Genomic DNA, 19,302 nt, shown 5'->3' with positions numbered 1-19,302 from the left:
CTGGTCTCAAGCAATACTCCCACCTCAGCCTCCCAAAGTGCTAGGATTACAGGCGTGAGCCACCACACCCAGCCACATTTTGTTTTTGATACCAATTTTCATATTTTCATACTGTGTATCCACTAACAAATTACTGTAGCTATAGTTTTATGGTTTTGGGGGGGTTTTGTTTGTTTTTTTTGGAGATGGAGTCTCACTGTCACCCAGGCTGGAGTGCAGTGGTGTAATCTTAGCCCACTGCAACCTCTGCCTCCCAGGTTCAAGTGATTCTCCTGCCTCAGCCTCCAGAGTAGCTGGGATTACAGGCACCCACCACTACGCCCAGCTAATTTTTGTATTTGTAGTAGAGACAGGGTTTCACCATGTTGGCCAGGCTGGTCTCGAACTCCTGACTTCTGGTGATCCACCCGCCTCAGCCTCCCAAAGTGCTAGCATTATAGGTATGAGCCACCATGCCCAGCCTTGATTCATGTTTTTTGTTTTTTCTTTTGAGAGAGTCTCATTTTATCATCCAGGCTAGAGTACCATGGTACAATCACAACTCACTGCAGCCTCGTCCTCCCAGGCTCAAGTGACCCTCCCACCTCGGCCTCCCAAGTAGCTAGGACTACAGGCACATGCTGCCATGCCCAGCTAATTTTTAGATTTTTTGTAGAGATAAGATCTCGCTATACTGCCCAGGCTGGTCTTGAACTGGCTTCAACCAATCTTCCCACCTTAGCCTCTCAAAGTGCTGGAATTACAGGAGTAAACCACCAACCACATCTAGCTAATTTATCTCCTGTGGCAATCACTGAACAAGAACTCCCAAGACCTTTTCTGGTTTCCAAAGTCTGTGGTTCTGACCTTAGTTATTTCTCTTATACTGATCCCTTTCATTTCTGCTGATTACAGTTAAGATATAAGAGGTGGCCTAGATCATGAAGATAATTTGAAGCAAATTAAATTAACTGTACCAGAAAATAAATAATGAATATTCATTGATTACACAGAGTGCTCTGTCATTTTAGAACCATGAACACAGAGGTCTAGTCTCAACTTCTTAAAAGCCTTATTTCTTAATAAAGAGTGATATAAATATCCTTTATTAACTACTGGTCCACTTATATTTGGTCAATTAAATTTAAAAGGTAATCAAATAAGCAAATTAAAAGATAAAAGAGACACTTTTTTCATATTTTTAATTACCATTATTGCACCAATACAGCATACACTTTATATACATATATCTTAAACATTTTCCATTTTTCAGGAATTCAAATACATAATATATTATCATCTCAAGAATACAAAGAACACAACATGGAGGAAGATTGAGAAAATAGGTTCCCAGTATTTAGTCACTAGTGATTCCACAGACTTTCCTTTTAGTGTTTTCTATTGGAATTTTAACATGTCCTGCTATGGCTCTGCAAGAATAGAGCTGCCTGGAAAAGGAGGCAATGAAAAGAAAATGGACCCAAAGTCAGAAAAAGTGAAGAAGAGAATCCAGGAAAGTAATATATTTTGAAACTAAACATAAGGACTCCCTTCGGCCAGAGTGTACATACCCAATAGGTGCAAAAAGGAAGCAATGATATCTTCCCATTTCATCCTCAAAATTGCTCGTTTAGAAACAAAATAGAAAGTACCCATTCACCTAAGAAGCAGAACTTTTTTCACAGCATTGTAATAGGAATGGCAGGGCAGAGGGAAAGGAAAGTAGTGGGAGAACAACTTGCTTTTAAGATACCCTGGGTGACAGGTATCAAAGCCTTGGGCAAAACCTGTCACAGTAAAGCTGTGACTCTCCAACTTCCTTCACAAATGACAATATACATAATAGCAGCTTTCTATTAAAGAACTACATGAACTGAAAAGAAATGTTTATGGAAAGGGGCCAGATACCCAGGCAGCAAGGCAATGAGGATACTAAACAAGAGTTAAGTGCTTTCAACCTCTCTGCTCTACAGATCAGGTTAAAAACTCTAAACCCTTCAACTTTAGGTCAAAGAACAGGGCAAATACAAATTAATGCCATGCTTCAAATGCAGCAACCAGATGGAGCTGCAAGAAATTAAACACTCCTATAGACTATCACTTGGAAAGCACAGCCTCTTGAACCTCCTTCATTACAGATACACCCACTGATCAAAGATGTTAACACAATTCAAACTCAACAAACAGAAAAGAGTAGTGGAGGTGCCACCAACACAACCCTCTTATCATAGAAAGAGACATGTAAACACACAAGAGGGTGATGGAGCTGCACCCAGCACTGGATGTTCACTGAGCACAATAAGCCTGAAGGAGACTACACAGCAGAGACCCAGGAAATAGGTCTTTCTCCATATCTACCCCTATCAAAATTCTGAATTTGTAAACACTGAGGTCAGCCTGTCCATTTTTAGTCCTGGGTTAGTGGAGAAGGAAGTTGCAAGGTTTTTGACTCCCCTGAAATTGCTAAATAGGGCTTCACAAAGAGGCACACAAGGGTCATGAGATGATTTTGAAATAAGTTAAAGAAATTAAAAGATGAGACAAATTTTACAGATGTTAGAGGTCATTCCCCCTCAAACAGACGCTGGCCTTTTAAGCCCTGCATAGTCAGCCAAAACTATGATAAGATCCACTAGTCCCCTACCTTGGTACTACGCAGGAGATAACAGATACTTTCTTGGCTGTACAAGTAACAACACAGGGGAGTGACATAAACCAGCTTGAATGTGATGGAGAAGCTATGAAAAAGATTGTCCAGTCATTCTGGTTCTGGGGAGGAAATGGGTTCCTAACTTCCCTCACAGATTGGTGCCCTCAAGGTCATTTTTATTCCTCAAGTCTGTCCTTAATGTCCTGCCAATGCCATTCAGAACTGGACCCAGTTGGATGGCTGTGGTGCCTGGTTTGGAACAGAGCTGCAAGACAGGAGAACAGAGAAAGCCAGAGACATAATATTAGGATAACAACTCCATTCTTTACTTAATAGTTTCTAAGAAATCACTGCCTAGAATTTCCAAAACCACACTTCATGGCAATTCTACTTACAAAGGCCTGAAATATCCCACTCAAACCTCATCCTACAGCTTTTTTGTCCCCCCATTCCCAGCACTACTATATTTCCTTCACTAGAACTCTTCCAAAAGACTCTATGTGACCTGCATATCCATTGCTTCTCCAGATCAAAGATTTCAATTGACTGTACATATCTCCTACACCCTGATTGAGAGTATGCTAGTTTCACTATGCCCATTACCTGGAGGCAGTGCTGAAGTCTCCCCACAAGTCATTGCTTACAGAAACTGGAGTTGGTGCTGGTGTCGTGACAGGAGCAGGAGAATCCAAATCTAAAAGGATATCTAAACACAAGGTAAGAAAAGAAAAAAGAAAAACATAATCAAAATCTTGGAAGGGCCGGGCGCGGTGGCTCACGCCTGTAATCCCAGCACTTTGGGAGGCCGAGGCGGGTGGATCATGAGGTCAGGAGATCGAGACCATCCTGGCTAACAAGGTGAAACCCCGTCTCTACTAAAAATACAAAAAATTAGCCGGGCGCGGTGGCGGGCGCCTGTAGTCCCAGCTACTCGGGAGGCTGAGGCAGGAGAATGGCGTGAACCCGGGAAGCGGAGCTTGCAGTGAGCCGAGATTGCGCCACTGCAGTCCGCAGTCCGGCCTGGGCGACAGAGCGAGACTCCGTCTCAAAAAAAAAAAAAAAAAAAAAAAATCTTGGAGATGAGAATTTATGTTTGCACAAAAATCTGTATACAAATGCCACGGCAGCTTTATTCATAATGGTCAAAAACTGTAAACAACCTAGATGTCATTCCATGGGCAATAGTTACACACACTGGTATATCCATACCATGGAATACTATTCAGCAATAAAAAGAAACAGACTATTGACACACAACTTGAATGAATCTCAAGGGAATTATGCTGAGTGGGAAAAGCCTGTCCCAAAGGTTACATGCTGTATGATTCCTTTCATAGAACATTCCTGAAGTGACAAAATTATAAAGATGGAGAACAGACTGGTGATTGCCAAGCGTTAGGAATGGGGGAAGAAAGGATGAGAGGGAGATGGGTGTGGTTGTGTAAGGTTGACACAGGGGATCTTTGTAGTGATTAAACTGTTCTATAACCTGAAATGATGGTGGATCCATGAACCTACACATGACAAAACTGCAAAGAACTGGCCAGATGCAGTGGCTCACACCTGTAATCCCAGCATTTTAGGGGGCCAAGGCAGGAGGATCACTGAAGTCCAGAAGTTCAAGGCCAGCCTGGGCAACGTAGTGAGACTCTGTTGCTACAAAAATTAAAAAATTAGCTTGGTGTGGCAGTGTGCACCTGTAGTCCCAGATGTTTGGGAGGCTGACGCAGAAGGATCTCTTGAGCCCAGGAGTTTGAGGCTGCAGTGAGCTATGACTGCACCACTGTACTCTAGCCTGGGCAACAGTGTGAGACCCTATCTCAAAAAATAACAAAAAATCCTGCATAGAACTAAATATACAGATCCACACAAATATACACAGATGAGAACATGTAAAATGGTGTAAGCTGAGTAAGATGAGAAAGTGGTATCAACATCAATTTTTCATTTGTGATACTTGACAATAGTTCCACAAAATATTACCAATTGAGGGAAACTGGGAAAAGGGTAAACAGGATCTCTTCATATTATTTCTTACAACTGCATGTTAATCTACGATTATCTCAAAATAATAATTTAATTTAAAAAAAATCTTAGATACTATCCCCAGTGGCTTCTGGCAACACTTACCAAAAGAAGCAGGCTATAATATTTTCACCTCAAAAATTCCAGAAAGAGAAAGCTTACCCTTAGTAATCAATTCAACAAATTATCTGCACTGTCCAATACATTAAGTTAAAATTCTCAGATTCTAAGACACAGTTCTCTAATCTCAGAAAAATTCTTTTCTCAGTTCCAATGCTCTCATTTTTCAAATGAGAAGATATAACCATATTTATTCTTTCTCCCACCAAACAGAAAGAAAGAATGAAAGTGTATGGACAAACCTAGATATCTTCTTTTCTCCCAATTGCTCTTGTGAAGAAATGGGAAAGTTTAATAACATTTACTAAATGCCTACTATGTTCCAAGTGCTATGCTAGGTGCTGTCAATCATTTAACCCTCATGACCTTGGGGTGGTAATTATTTTATTTTATCTATTTATTTATTTATTTATTTTTGTTTGTTTCTTTGTTTTTTTATGAGACAAGGTCCCACTCTGTCACCCACACTGGAGTACAGTGGCACAATCATGGTTCACTGCAGCCTCCCAGACTCAAGCCATCCTCCCACCTCAGCCTCCCAAATAGCTGGGTCTACAGGCGTGCACCACCACGTCCAACTAATGTTTGTATTTTTTTTGTAGAGATGGGATTTCATCATGTTGCCCAGGCTGATCTCAAACTCCTAAGCTTAAGCAATCCACCCACCTCAGCCTCCCAAAGTGCTGGGATTACAGGCATGAGCCAAGGTCCCCGCTGGGGTGGTTTTACATCTCCAGTTTGTAGATAAGGCAATTGAAACTCAAAAAACTTAAGTAATGTTTACCAAGCACATTCAAATATAAAGTAGCAGAGCCATGACCAAAATCTTGGTCCATCTGACTCAAAAGCTTATAAGCATCTAACCAAGAAAAAAATGAAGGAAATTGTCATTTTAATAAGCAAATATTTTCTGCCAAAGAACCTATGAGATACTATGACTCTTAGTTCACTAGAAAAGCTTTGATTCCTTGCTAGAAGCTGACAGAATCACCTTGTCAGTACCATGAGCTATTTCATAGCAAAAACATTAACTCTCCTTGACAAACAGGTGTTGCTTAATTAAAACATAAGATTGGATTTCTCAAAATTAGAAGTACTAGATTTACCTGCATCACTGCCTCCATGGTTAGATTTCGGAATGGGTGGTGGGGTGACATGATTGCTGATGGCAACTGAGGAGGATGGTGGGGGAATAGTGACTTTGCCTCCTGGCGGGGGTGGGAGTAAGCTCAGACCCCCACCCCTTGCAGTCCTGGGCTTAGAAGCACCTCCTTTCTTGTTTGTAATGTTCTACAAAAGAAAAAAAGAAGAGCAAGAGAAAGATGTCATAGGCTTATGGAAGCACAGGAAAACAAAATTTTTAAAAACCATACTCACCCCGATACACAACTTGATGGTTTGTCCTTCCTTGAAGCCCAGATCCAACTTAGGACGAGCATCCATTTCTTGAGATTCCTTGGAAATCTCAGATTCCTGCTTTACCCACCTTTGGGAACACAGCAAGTTATCTTAGTTTGAGATTTCCTGAAAGCAGAGTCTGACATACAAATTTGGGTGTATTTACTTTTATGAAATGAGATTCCAGAAAACACAGTGAGAGATAAAAAAGAGTGAGAAACAGAAGGGAAAAAAGCCAAGAAAGAAAACAACTGGGGTTCAATTCCACTGGGGACTCTCTGAGAAATCTCACGGAATACGTATTAGAATTGCCCCTTCCAGAAGGATGGTATTTAGCCACCAATTCCCATTCCCCACAGTTGAGGGCTGCTCCTGAGGGGGTGTTAGTTTCTTAGTCTTTCCAAGTTAAAGCTTGCTCTTAGCTTTCTATAACTTCAGAGAGTCCTAAGGCAGAAAAGGAGAGATATGCTTGCTCTTGAGGTAGGAAGCTGACAGTGTGCACAGTGCTGTCAACCACAGCTGCACCAAAATCAAGTGGGCTAAAGAAATGTTGCAAAAGTCACAAAACATGTCAGCTACATAAGGTAACAAGAGTGGCACACGACTCCCCACATAAAGCCCTGCTGTTACCATAGGCCTCCCTCTACCACCTAAAAGACGGGGCAAATTCGACAGAGCATCATTTCAAACTACTGCACAAGGGATCTGAAATATATTGCAGGCTATAAGGAAAGGAAACAGAATAGATACAAAGATGACCTAAGGAAACAAAAGTGAATGGGGAGATTTATATTCACAATGAAATAGTTTAAGAAACAAAGAAACCAGGAGGAAAAGAGATACTGCCCATTCATGTGAGAAGCAGCATTCCTATAAGCATTCAGCCTCGTAACTAAGGACAAGCTTCACTCACTTGAAGTGATCCTGCAAGGAGACATTAAAGTCGAAGGCATCTCCCCGATCTGTGAAGCCAATGCCAATGAAAGCACTGCGCCCTGTGGAAAACGTAGGAAGACTCGACTAGGAAGTATCCTCTATGGCAGGAGCCCCCAACCCCCGGCACCAGTCTGTGGCCTGTTAGAAACCAGGCCATGCAGCAGGAGGTGAGTTGCACACGAGAGAGCAAAGCTTCATTGTATTTACAGCCGCTCCCCGTCACTTGCATGACCACCTGAGCTCCGCCTCCTGTCAGATCAGTGGCAGCATTAGATTCTCAGAGGGGTGTGAACCCTACTGTGAACTGCACATGTGAGGGATCTAGGTTATGAGCTCCCTATGAGAATCTGATGCCTGATGATCTGTCACTGTCTCCCATCACCCCCGTCTAGTTGCAGGAAAACAAGCCCAAGGCTCCCGCTGATTCTACATTATAGTGAGTTGTATAATTATTTCATTATACATTACAATGTAATAATAATAGAAATAAAGTGTACAATAAATGTGATGCACTTGAATCATCCTGAAACCATCCCCTAATGCCGGTCTGTGGAAAACTGTCTTCCACAAAACGGGTCCCTGGTGCCAAAAAGGTTGAGGACTGCTGCTCTATGGCAAATTTTGCCCAATGAAAATATAACAGTCACCCTAACTAGACAAAGTCTGAATGTGAAATATCTTCTCATAGACCAAGAGTCGATAAACTACATAGAGCCCATGGGCTTTATCCTGCCATAGCCTGGTTTTGTAGAAGAAGTTTCATGGAACATAGTGGTATCAATGTGTTTACATATTTTCTACAGTGATTTCACACTACAACAGCAAAACTGAGTAGTTGCAACAGAGGCCACCTGACCTGCAAAACCTAAAACATTTATTATTTGTCTGTTTGCCAACCTCTGTTATAGACCATGGAGAAAAGAGTAAGAATGACTGCCCCACACGTAAGATGATTCAAGATAGTCCCACCAAAAACTACCACGAACAATAAACGGGCAAAAAGTGTTCATTCTTTTTTTTTTTTTTGAGATGGAGTTTTGCTCTTGTTGCCCAGGCTGGAGTGCAATGGCGTGATCTCGGCAACCTCCACTTCCCCAATTCAAGTGATTCTCCTGTCTCAGCCACCCGAGTAGCCGGGATTACAGGCACCTGCCACCACGCCTGGCTAATTTTTTATTTTCAGTAGCGACAGGGTTTCATCATATTGGTCAGGCTGGCCTCAAACTCCTGACCTCAGGTGATCCACCCACCTCGGCCTCCTAAAGTGCCAAATGTGTTAATTCATTTGTTAGATATGTGTTTTTCATTTATTTAAGTCTACATATGAATTACCACATCTTGAACTCGTGCTTATCTATTACAAATAACATGTTAATACTTTTCCTTTAGCAACTAGAGCAACTTTAGAGAAAGGGAAGAAAAAATGAAGTAAACCAAAGAAAGATAAATGCAATCGGAAACACTTTTCATGGCTGTGCATTCACCTGTTTTCCTAACTTCGTTCCACTCAAAATCCCAGTTCTCTTACCAGTACCATCCTGGATCCGGATTACAAAGTAGCGGCTAGAATCTGTCACCGTCTCCACAGCAATACCAGGATATTGTTCTACTGGTGCCTGAGCAAAGAGCTCCCCTGACAGATAAGAGAAAGACTTTTTTGAGTAAAGCAAGCCAAAATCCAGAACCCCAATTAACAAGTAGTATTTCCATTCCAGTCCCCAAATTGAAGGTACTTATAAAAGCACACCAAATTAATATTCTTAATGTTAGAGGGTCACCCGCAAAGATTACCTGAAACTTTATCCTCGAGTTTGATATAGGCAGTCTTCCCTTTTGAAGTGATTCGGAGGCGACCAGTCCAATCAGGCTGGTCTAATTTCCAGTCAGAGGCCCTAGGACAGGAAAAGAGGAAGCCTCAGGCACATGTCCTTAATTTACTAACGCCCACCCACAATCTTTGACTGTATTTCTATTTCCCTATCCTGGATTGCCTATTCTTTCTACCTATTAATCAACAAGAATAATTCATGATCTATTTAGATGCCTCATGTTACATACAGTCCAAAGCAAGTAAAAGACAATGCTACTACTTGAGGACTTTGGAGTCCAATAAGCATCATTAAAAAGATGGAAAAGCACGAATAAAAGCAATAAAAAATAAAATTCTGGCCGAGCATGGTGGCTCAAGCCTGTAATCCCAGCACTTTGGGAGGCCAAGGTGGGTGGATCACTTGAGGTCAGGAGTTTGAGACCAGTCTGGCCAACACGGTGAAACCCCGTCTTCTAAAAATACAAAAATTAGCTGGTTATGGTGGCGTGCGCCTGAAATCCCTTGGGAGGCTGAGGCAGAATCAACTGAACCTGGGAGGTGGAGGCTGCAGTGAGCCGAGACTGCGCCACCGCTCTCCAGCCTGGGCGACAGAACGAGACTTGGTCTCAAATAAAGAAATAAATAAAATTTCTCATAACGATGCTATTTTCAAACTATAGATGGTATACTAGATAACCATGCTTTACTAATCAGATAACAACAAAGTCTACTACATTAAATATCCTAGGTAATGGGAGCCCTCCCAAATCAGTAAATATACTATCTTTCACTGAATTCAATCAATATTTATACAGTACTTATTAGGACAGATGCATCACTGTTCCAGATGCTTAGGATACAACAGCAACCAAAACAAAGATTCCAACCCTCATGAGGCTTACATCCTAACAGAAGATAGAAAATAAAAAAGAAACATAATAAACAGCATAATTAGTATCTTAGAAAGTGGTGAGTTCTAAGGTAAAAAGAAAATGTAGAGGCAAATTAGGAAGATTAAGAAGACAGTGGGAGAATGAACAAGTTGTAGCATTCAAGAGGGTGGTTGGGGTAGGTCTCATTAAGGTGAAATGTGAGCTAGAATGTGAAGCAAGAGAGTTATCCATACAGATGTCTGGGGGAAAAGCATTCTAGACATAAGGAACAGCTAGCCCAAAGGTGCTACGGTGGGGGCATGCCTGGCATGTTTGAGAGACAACAAGGAAGCACTGTGGTTAGAACAGAGGAAGAGACAAGGTGGGAGAGGTAACAGACGGCCAGATCACGCAGGGCCTTGTGGGTCATAGTAACAACTTCAGCTTTCACTCTGAGTGAAAAAAGAGCTATTACAAATTTTAAGCAGAGGTGTGACATGATCTCCCTTATATTCTAAAAAGATTACTACATCTGCTGTCTGGAGAAAAGCTGTTGGGATAAGAGGACTGAAGCAGGGGGATTAGCTAAGAGACTACTGCAGTAATCTAGAAAAGTCACAATGGTAGCAGAAGTGGCTATATTCTGGATATATTTAGGGTAAAAGTAGCAGGATTTTCTAATGGATTAGATATGGGATAGAAGAGAAGGATATATTTAGGGTAAAAGCAGCAGGATTTTCTAATGGATTAGATAGGGGATAGAAGCCAAGGACAACTCCAAGGTGTTTAGCCTGAGCAAAGAGTTGCCAATTATTGAGATGAGAAGGAACACATCTAGGAAGAAGGATCAGGGATTCAGTTTTAAATATGCTGAGTTTGAGATGTCTAGTAGATTTTCAAGAGATGTAGAGTAGGCAGTAAAATATATGAGACGAGTTCAAGAAAGACATCTGGGCTGGAGATACAAACGGCCATGAAAACATCAGAAATTTATAAAACGTGTTATAATCAACTTGAACAACAACTAAGATTATTTATGATGAATTTTACAAAACATTGTATTTGTGATTTGTTTTGCCAGGAGTATGGAAAACAGATTAGCAAAGTAAAAGTTATTAATAATTCATCTTCTAAGAAACCAAAGACTAATACTTAAAGACTAAAAAAGCAACCACAAGGTATATTTGAACAAGAATGAGTTTAACAAGATGAGAGGTAAAAAGCTGAAAGGAGGAAAATGAAAGTGAAAATTAGCACAGGTTTTGAACAGGATCTGTAAAATAAGTCCTTCCCATTCTCTTCCCTCTTGATTCCCTGCCCTCAAAGACCCTCAAGTACCTAAATCTGATCCAGATTAGAGAGCTCTAAAGTTCCTCATCTATTATATTAATGAGTTATTACTTATTATAATCATGCCACCAAGAGCTCATGTAAATGGGCTATTAAAAATATTAGGAACAGCCAGGCACCGTGGCTCACGCCTATAACCAGCACTTTGGGAGGCCAAGGCAGGAGGACTGCCTGAGCCTAAGAATTTGAGGTTGCAGTGAGCTATGATCGCCCCACTGCACTCCAGCCTGAGCAACAGGGTGAGACCCTGTCTCTAAAAAAAAAAAAAAAAAATTAGGAACAAGTCTATTAAATGTGTTTTTCTTGGATGAGTTCCTTATTTCTCTTGTGTATCTAGTGTCCGATACTTAACAAATTCTGTAAGTAAATGGATATTCATGGCAGCAGATTCCCTCAGCCTTGAGCCTTAGTTCCTTTCCTACTCCAAGACCTAATCTAAAGAACTCTTGATTTTGCTTGTCCTCTGACAATACTTTTAACTTACCTTACAAATTTTCATTTACCTTAGTAATAAAACTTTATATATATATAAATAAAAAACCACTATGATGATTCACAGTAAGATTCCAAATGTACATCTTATTATGTCCTTATAGTAGATATGTGAAATAGGCATGAAAAGCCTGTCATACCTCTCTTTCTCTCTAAATGATGGAAAGGATAACACAGTAAGTAATAATGCCTAACTTTAAAGTCCATTATTCTTTCATTACACTGAAACGCATTATAGAGGTTAATATTGATTTAGCTAAGGGAAGAGGGTAGTGAAGAATTTTTTTTTAAAAAAAAATAGTTTTATAGGTTGGAAAACTGTTTTCTAACCATTTATTTATTTGTGTGTGTGTGTGTGTGTGTGTGTGTGTGTGTAATAGAGTCTCACTCTTCCACCCAGGCTGGAGTGCAATGGCGCGATCTTGGCTAACTGCAACCTCGGGTTCAAGCAATTCTCTTGCCTCAGCCTCCTGAGTAGCTGAGATTACAGGCACAGGCCACCATGCCCAGCTAATTTCTTTTGTATTTTTAGTAAAGACGGGGTTCCACCAAGTTGGCCAGGCTGGTCTCAAACTCCTGACTTCAGGAAATCCGCCCGCCTTGGCCTCCCCAAGTGCTGGGATTACAGGAGTGAGCCACCGCACCCAGATTGTTTTCTAAGCATTTGTAAGTTTCCTTTTTGTTTGTTTTGAGACGCAGTCCTGCTCTGTCGCCTAGGCTGGAGAGCAGTGGCATGATCTCAGCTCATTGCAACCTCCGCCTCCCGGGTTCAAACAATTCTACTGCCTCAGCCTCCCAGGTAGCTGGGACTACAGGTGTGCGCCACCACGGCTGGCTAAGTTTTTTGTATTTTTGTAGAGACGGGGTTTCACCATGTTGGCCAGGCTGGTCTGGAACTCCTGACCTTAAGTGATCCGTGCGCCTCGGCCTCCCAAAGTCCTGGGATTACAGATATGAGCCACCGCACTCAGCCTGATAAGTTTCTTGTCAACCCAAATTTTCCTTCCCATAGTCTAGAAGTCTGGTCAGTGAAAGTCTGGGAACGAACAGCTTACACTAGGTGAATTAAAATCAATTATTCTCTCTAATCTTACCAGTCACTCAAAGGAAAAATTCCTCCTGCTTTCTAAAAAGCCCAGTTTGTCCTTTAATGTCAGCCTAGAGAATAAATCCTGCTTATAATATAAAGTGGGTTCTGGTAAATAAGAAAGATTATGCAAACAAAAAGAAAACCAGCATTTATCAAGCATTTATTATGTGCCAGGCATTATGCCCATTCTCGTGAAAATTAAGTGAAAGGGCCAGGCGCAGTGGCTCATGCCTGTAATCCCAGCACTTTGGGAGGTTGAGGTGGGTGGATTGCCTGAGGCCAGGAGTTCAAGACCAGCCTGGCCAACATGGTGAAACCCCATCTCTACTAAAAATACAAAAAATTAGCCAAGCATGGCAGTGCACATCTGTAATCTCAACTACTCAGGAGGCTGAGGCACGAGAATCAGTTGAATCTGGGAGGCACAGATTGCAGTGAGCCATGATCACACCATTGTACGCCAGCCTGGGTGACAGAGCGAGACTCTGTCTCAACAACAAAAAAAAAAAAAAAAAAAAAAAAAAAAAGAAGATTAAGTGAGAGGATCCTACAAGGTAAGTATTGTTATAGTCATTTTTACAAATGAAGAAACTAACATTCAAAAGTGGTGATTTGCCAAAGGTAACCCAGCAAATAAATATCGTTATTCAAACTTAATTCCGCTCTCTTCATGTGCTGTACTAAAAAAGTGATTGATGATAAGGTGCCTCTTGGAGGATAAAAAATGCCAGTAGACATGGAAAACACAGAAGGATAACAGGAAAAAGAGGAAAATTAAGAAACTGCTTTAATGGCTCAGTGCAGTTAACTGATGTAAGTATAAAGGTTGTGGAAAACTAAGAAGTGAAGATAGAGAAGATGGGTGAGAGGGGAGGTGTTTTAAAAAGCTTGAAGTAGGCCGGGTGCGGTGGCTCACGCCTGTAATCCCAGCACTTTGGGAGGCCAAGGCAGGCGGATCACGAGGTCAAGAGTTTGAGACCAGCCTGGCCAACACAGTGAAACCCCGTCTCTACTAAATATACAAAAATTAGCTGGGCATAGTGGCACGTGCCTGTAGTCCCAGCTACTTGGGAGGCTGAGGCAGGAAAATCACTTGAACCGGGGAGGCGGAGGTTGTGGCGAGCTGAGATTGCGCCAGCGCACTCCAGCCTGGGCAACACAGCCAGACTCCATCTCAAAAAAAAAAAAACTTCAAGAAAAAGAATATAATCCCACTTCAATATGTATCATATCCTTTAGGAGTCTTAACTCCTAAAGTTGGAAGTAATGAGCTATTTGACCTTATTTAACAGTTCAATCAATGCCACTTTATGTGATTAGGTTTCTCTGTGTAATCTACTGATTTCTTCTTTCAGTCAACATTTACAGGGTGCCCAAAGTGTACCAGATACTGTGCTAGACCCTGGGAATATAAAGTTAAAAAGATCTCAAGTTGTTCACAGTCTAGCCTGGAGAAAAAAGGAGACTAAACAATCCATTGTACAATCCACTGTAATCCATTACAATACAAAATGAAGAGCCCTGGAATAGAGATAAGAATAAAGTGCTATGCAGGAACAGAAAACCAAACACCACATGTTCTCACTCACAAGTGGGAGTTGAACAGTGAGAACGCATGGGCACAGGGAGGGGAACAACACACACTGGGGCCTCTCGGGGGAGGGGCGAGGATGACAGGTTGATAGGTGCAGCAAACCACCATGGCACATGCATACCTATGTAACAAACCTGCACATTCTGCACATGTATCCCAGAACTTAAAGTAAAAAAGAAAAAGAAAAAGGTGCTATGGAAGCACACAGGGTGCATATCTAAACCAGAATGGAAGGGTCACATAGGGCCTCCCAAAGAAGGTGATGTTTAAGTGACTCATATAGTACCTGTAACTACCATCTAAAAGCATGTTGATTTCTACTTAGGGTCAGTTTGGGGTCCAACTAAAAGCTTATTAAAAACAGAACTGCTACCTCTTTGCCAAAGGTGCAACCCACAGGGCCCAGCGCACAGGTCAGCAAGCATAAAAATATTGATTCATGATGAATAAAACGCCAGTAAGGGGCAAAATAACAGACATAAGGAGAGGGTAACTTTTCAGCCAAGGTAATGATAAATGCCAGGAGGAAAAATCACAATGATGATGTGGGTCAGAGAGAAGAATAAGAACAGTATCTTGGCCAGGTGCAGTGGCCCACACCTGTAATTTCAACACTTTGGGAGGCTGTGGCAGGAGAATCACTTAAGGCCAGGAGTTCGAGACCAGCCTGGGAAATATATCAAGATCCTGTCTACACAAAAAAATTTAAAAATTAGCCAGGCATTGTGAGGCAATGCCTGTAGCCCTAGCAACTTGGGAGGCTGAGGTAGGAGGATCCCTTGTGCCCAGGAGTACACAGCTGCCGTGAGCTGTGATTGCACCACTTGCACTCCAGCCTGGATGATAGAACGAGACCCTGCCTCTCTAACAAAAAAAAAAAAAAAAAAAAACGACGGCTGGGCGTGGTGTCACGCCTGTAATCCCAGTACTATGGGAGGCCAAGGTGGGCAGATCACAAGGTCAGGAGTTCAAGACCAGCCTGGCCAACTTGGTGAAACCCCATCTCTACTCAAAATACAAAAATTAGCCAGGTGTGGTGGTGCATGCGTGTAATCCCAACTATTCAGGAAGCTGAAGCAGGAGAATCGCTTGAACCCAGGAGGCGGAGGTTGCAGTGAGCTGAGATTGAGCCATTGCGCTCCGGCCTGGGCAACAAAGTGAGACTACATCTCAAAAAAAAAAAAAAAAAAAAAAAAAAGAACAAACAAATAGTATTTGTAACTGCTTTATTGCATTTCCTACATTCTTTCACATCCATTATATGATTTAATTTTACTCTCCCAAAAACCCTTGTTAAGCACATTATAAGAGCGCAGGTATCATCACTAACAGGTTTTTTTTTCTATTTTACAGATGAGAAAATTGAGGCTTGGAAAGGGCTCACACTCATATGGTTTAACATGAAGCCCAGTGAACTGTCTTTCAACTACATAATGTCCTATAGCATCCTCAGAACCTCACAGTCATTGGATTACAAGGTAGGTAGTTAGGCCCAACAGAGAAAAATGCTGCCTCAACTTTGGAGGGAAAAGGTGTAGGAGAGGTTAAGAAGGGAGGTAGGGAAGGAAGACAGAAAATACTATATAATCATCAAGAAAATACAATGAGAAGAAACAGAATGAACAACCGTTGTAAAGCTTATGATCATAACCTTTGCTCACTGGTAAAACTGCTGAAGGAAAAACCGAATGGTGGATGATGACAGTTGGTGACGAAATTGACAACAGTACAAAAAATAAATCAGATAATCCAGAGTGGCAAGCAACACGATTACCCATAAATGTGCATGGGGAACTGGAAAGGTGTGTGTGTGTGTGTGTGTGTGTGTGTGTGTGTGTGTGTGTGAGAGAGAGAGAGAGAGAAAGGATGAGGATGATAAGCTGAAGGACGCAGGGAAGAGCGAATGAAAGGGGACTGGCAATGGAGCAAGCACGACTGAAAGTGCATGATGGGGAGCAGATGGGTGCCCCAGGGGATTACGGGAGAGGCAGAGTGGAATAACGCAGAGTGGTAATTTAATAAAAAACAAAACAAAAAAAAAAACGGCAGAAATATGGTGATGACAGTCCAGAGTGGAGATGGAGCAGGTGGTCAGGGAGATGACAACCCAGGTAGGGAGGCTAGCAAGGTGACAATACAGAGGTAGTAGTGGCAGGGACGGACAGCGTGCTAGCTGAGAAGGAAGCTGTCATCTGCGACAGAGTACGCGTGTGCGGCAGCGCCTCGGGGTTAGTACCTGTAACCGCGGTTGGAGGCCCGGGGCGGAATCCGGTAGACGCTGACGTCTGGCTTCACACACAGCACAGACTCGTACTCCAACTCGGTCGCCATCTTGGGTCCGCTGTCGGCGCTGCCGGGGGCGAAACGTAAGACCGGAGGCGGAGCACGGGAGGCGGAGATGCAAAGCGCGACAACTTCTGTTGCGTCACTTCCGCGCGAGTTCAAGTTAGTTTCTGAGATTAACCTTTTCGGTGACGCGGGGAGCCATATTGAAACCTGGAAACGATGAGGCTGCACGGCTCACCGTCTTGGATAATGGCAAAGATGGCCTGCAAGTGCGTGACTCTCGTTATGGAAATCTCTGTCCTGGAGAGGTGCTTACGAAAAGCGCCATCTTACTCTAGGCAGGTGCCTGGAGTGTCCTACGAGGACGAGGACCATATTGAATCGTGACGGATTTTCTTACAGGAGTCACTTCCTAACTGTAGTCTCCTGGCAGAAAAGAGGCAACCTCCAGCCGGTAGTCCCAGACGAGGTACCTGCAGAGAATGATGTATGATCTGGTCATAGACACCGTGGATTTCAACTCTCCAGAGTCTAAACGCTGAAAACACCCAACTTGATTTAGTGCCTTACACTCTTTATCTCCGATTTTTCAGGACGACACCTGTTAAAATGTTTTGCCACACTTTCGGCGTGTATTCCGATTATCTTTTTGGAAAATTTGATCCTGTTAAATAGACTATACGTGGGATCAACCCAATTCCTGATAAAATCGGAAGCATAATGAACTATCTAATGGCCTATATTAGCTCCCAGTTCTATTATAATGATAAATGCTACCGAACTCTCACCATAAATATGCTTTTTCTGCGCCCCAAAGGTAAACTTAACCACAACACCCTGACAGTACAGATAGCAAGTGGCAAAACTGAGACAGAAACTCAAGCCTGCCTCATTACAACAGCAGCAGTCTTCACCGCTGCTGGAGCTGGCAAGGTCACCAAGTCTGCCCAGAAAGCTCAGAAGGCTAGATGAATATCATCCCTAATACCTGCCACCCCACTCTTAATCAGTGGTGGAAGAACGGTCTCAGAACTGTTTGTTTCAACTGGCCATTTAAGTTCAGTAGTAAAAGACTGGTTAATGAAAACAATGCATCGTAAAACCTTCAGAAGGAAAGGAGAATGTTTTGTGGACCACTGGTTTTCTTCTTCAGAAGGAAAGGAGAATGTTTTGTGGACCACTGGTTTTCTTTTTTGCGTGTGGCAGTTTTAAGTTATTAGTTTTTTAAATCAGTACTTTTTAATGGAAACATCCAAAAATTTGTCACAGAATTTTGAGACCCATTAAAAAAGTTTAATGAGAAAAAAAAAAAAAGCAAACCTGCCTCTAATTTGTCTGCTCCACCTTGGAAAGTGATATCTTAAATTTCAAAAAGAATTACCACATTTATCCCTGGCGAGGACGTGAGGAACAGTCTAATCTCATACACTGTTGGCAGGAATGTAAATTGGCACGGCATTTTTAAAAGGGAAATTAACAGAATTTATCAAAATATTAATTGGACGTAATCTTCAATTTAGCAGTTTCACTAATAAATATTGTAGAGAAATCCTTATATGCACAAAAAAGTATGTACAATAATACTACAGCATTGTTTGTAATAGTGAAAAAAATGGAAACAAAATGACCATCTATCAATGGGAAATGGTTAATGGTATATCTATTACTATGAGATGTTTTGAACTAAAGGGTTAGCCATTGAAAGAGATCCAAGATTTTTTAAAGCCAACTGCAAAAAACATACAGCATTATCAACTTTTGTCGAAACACCCCAAAATTATATATGCATGCATGTAAATGCATTGAGAAGGCTTTCAAAGGATATAAGGCTAAGTGGGGGAAAGAAACTTATTTTCTCCTCCATATATTTCTCTGTTGTTTAAGATTTATATAGCTATTATTGTCACTGAATACATGTTAAAAGAAAAATAAAGACAGAAAAGTGGTTTATTACTTGTTGTTCCTTATTTCTGACCCTATGATCTCATCTGAAGCCTAGGTCATATGACTACACCACATTGTACCTCTTTTTTTTTCTCTGTTCTGTGTTATCACTGGCAATCATTTTTGGAGGATTCTGGCTTCTGGTTCACCTTCTTACTAGTTTATACTCTTCCTCTTCTCCCAAATCTTTTAGAGATTTCAAAGCCCATATAGTTAACTCTTCCTAGCCATACAATCTCTTGACATAAATTCTAACTATCTTTACCTCTCTTTTCTACCTCACCTGTTCTTCTTCATGTTCTGCACATTGTTAGCCTTCTCTTTATTCCTCCCATCTCCTTGTTTCAACAGTTCTCTTGCCAGCATCCTTAAGTTTCCTTTCCTCTTTGTCTTTCCATCACAGCCAACCCAAAAGACTCCAGTCTTATATATTCCAACCATCTCCCTCCATCATTCTCCAAAAGCAAATCACACAATTATAAAGATTGGTGTCCCTAAAAGTTTATGGGTTTGAGTCTCAGCTTTGCCCTTAACACCCAGATTTGCCATTGCTAGTTTTTATTTTCATTCCCTTTAATGGTTGTTCCAAATTTTGCTGCCCTTTCAGGCCTTCAACTCTAAGTCTTCTCTTTTTCTTTCTTGACAGGTAAAACATCTTACTACTTCCCTAAGAAAATAAAGTTTGTGTGAACTCTCTCAACTTAATGACACCCTATTCATACTCCTATCTGCATCTTCATCTATTCTTTCTCCTAT

At 41.6% G+C, this 19,302-nt stretch overlaps 1 protein-coding gene across 2 annotated transcripts, besides 3 other annotated features; it reads right to left on the bottom strand.

Moving 5' to 3' along the window:
* NECAP1 (NECAP endocytosis associated 1) lies at positions 1,055-16,662 on the bottom strand. Of its 2 annotated transcripts, NM_015509.4 has the most exons (8): positions 16,553-16,662; positions 8,900-9,000; positions 8,637-8,741; positions 7,086-7,167; positions 6,152-6,260; positions 5,881-6,064; positions 3,233-3,335; positions 1,055-2,894 (listed from the first exon to the last, which is right to left on the bottom strand). In NM_015509.4, exons 1-8 carry the CDS (start codon positions 16,645-16,647, stop codon positions 2,846-2,848), a joined length of 828 nt encoding a protein of 275 aa, NP_056324.2. In that variant the 5' UTR covers positions 16,648-16,662; the 3' UTR covers positions 1,055-2,845. The 2 variants fall into 2 exon arrangements, 1 of the variants encoding a protein (NP_056324.2); NR_024260.2 differs by lacking the exon at positions 7,086-7,167.
* Positions 16,201-17,400: an enhancer, noted in NCBI's record as "MED14-independent group 3 enhancer chr12:8234132-8235331 (GRCh37/hg19 assembly coordinates)". NCBI's record gives its function as "activates an origin of replication core promoter dependent on BRD2, BRD4, P300/CBP and CDK7 cofactors, and independent of MED14, by STARR-seq in HCT116 cells {active_cell/tissue: HCT116}" and the evidence as "EXISTENCE:reporter gene assay evidence [ECO:0000049][PMID:35650434]".
* Positions 16,420-16,479: an enhancer, noted in NCBI's record as "active region_5928". NCBI's record gives its function as "activates an Ori minimal core promoter by ATAC-STARR-seq in GM12878 lymphoblastoid cells {active_cell/tissue: GM12878}" and the evidence as "EXISTENCE:reporter gene assay evidence [ECO:0000049][PMID:35858748]".
* Positions 16,550-16,769: an enhancer, noted in NCBI's record as "active region_5927". NCBI's record gives its function as "activates an Ori minimal core promoter by ATAC-STARR-seq in GM12878 lymphoblastoid cells {active_cell/tissue: GM12878}" and the evidence as "EXISTENCE:reporter gene assay evidence [ECO:0000049][PMID:35858748]".

This window comes from Homo sapiens, chromosome 12 (assembly GCF_000001405.40).
Source record: "Homo sapiens chromosome 12, GRCh38.p14 Primary Assembly".
NCBI classification, from domain to species: domain Eukaryota; kingdom Metazoa; phylum Chordata; class Mammalia; order Primates; family Hominidae; genus Homo; species Homo sapiens.
Note: the sequence above shows the minus strand (reverse complement) of the source record. Positions and strands in the feature narration are given on the sequence as shown.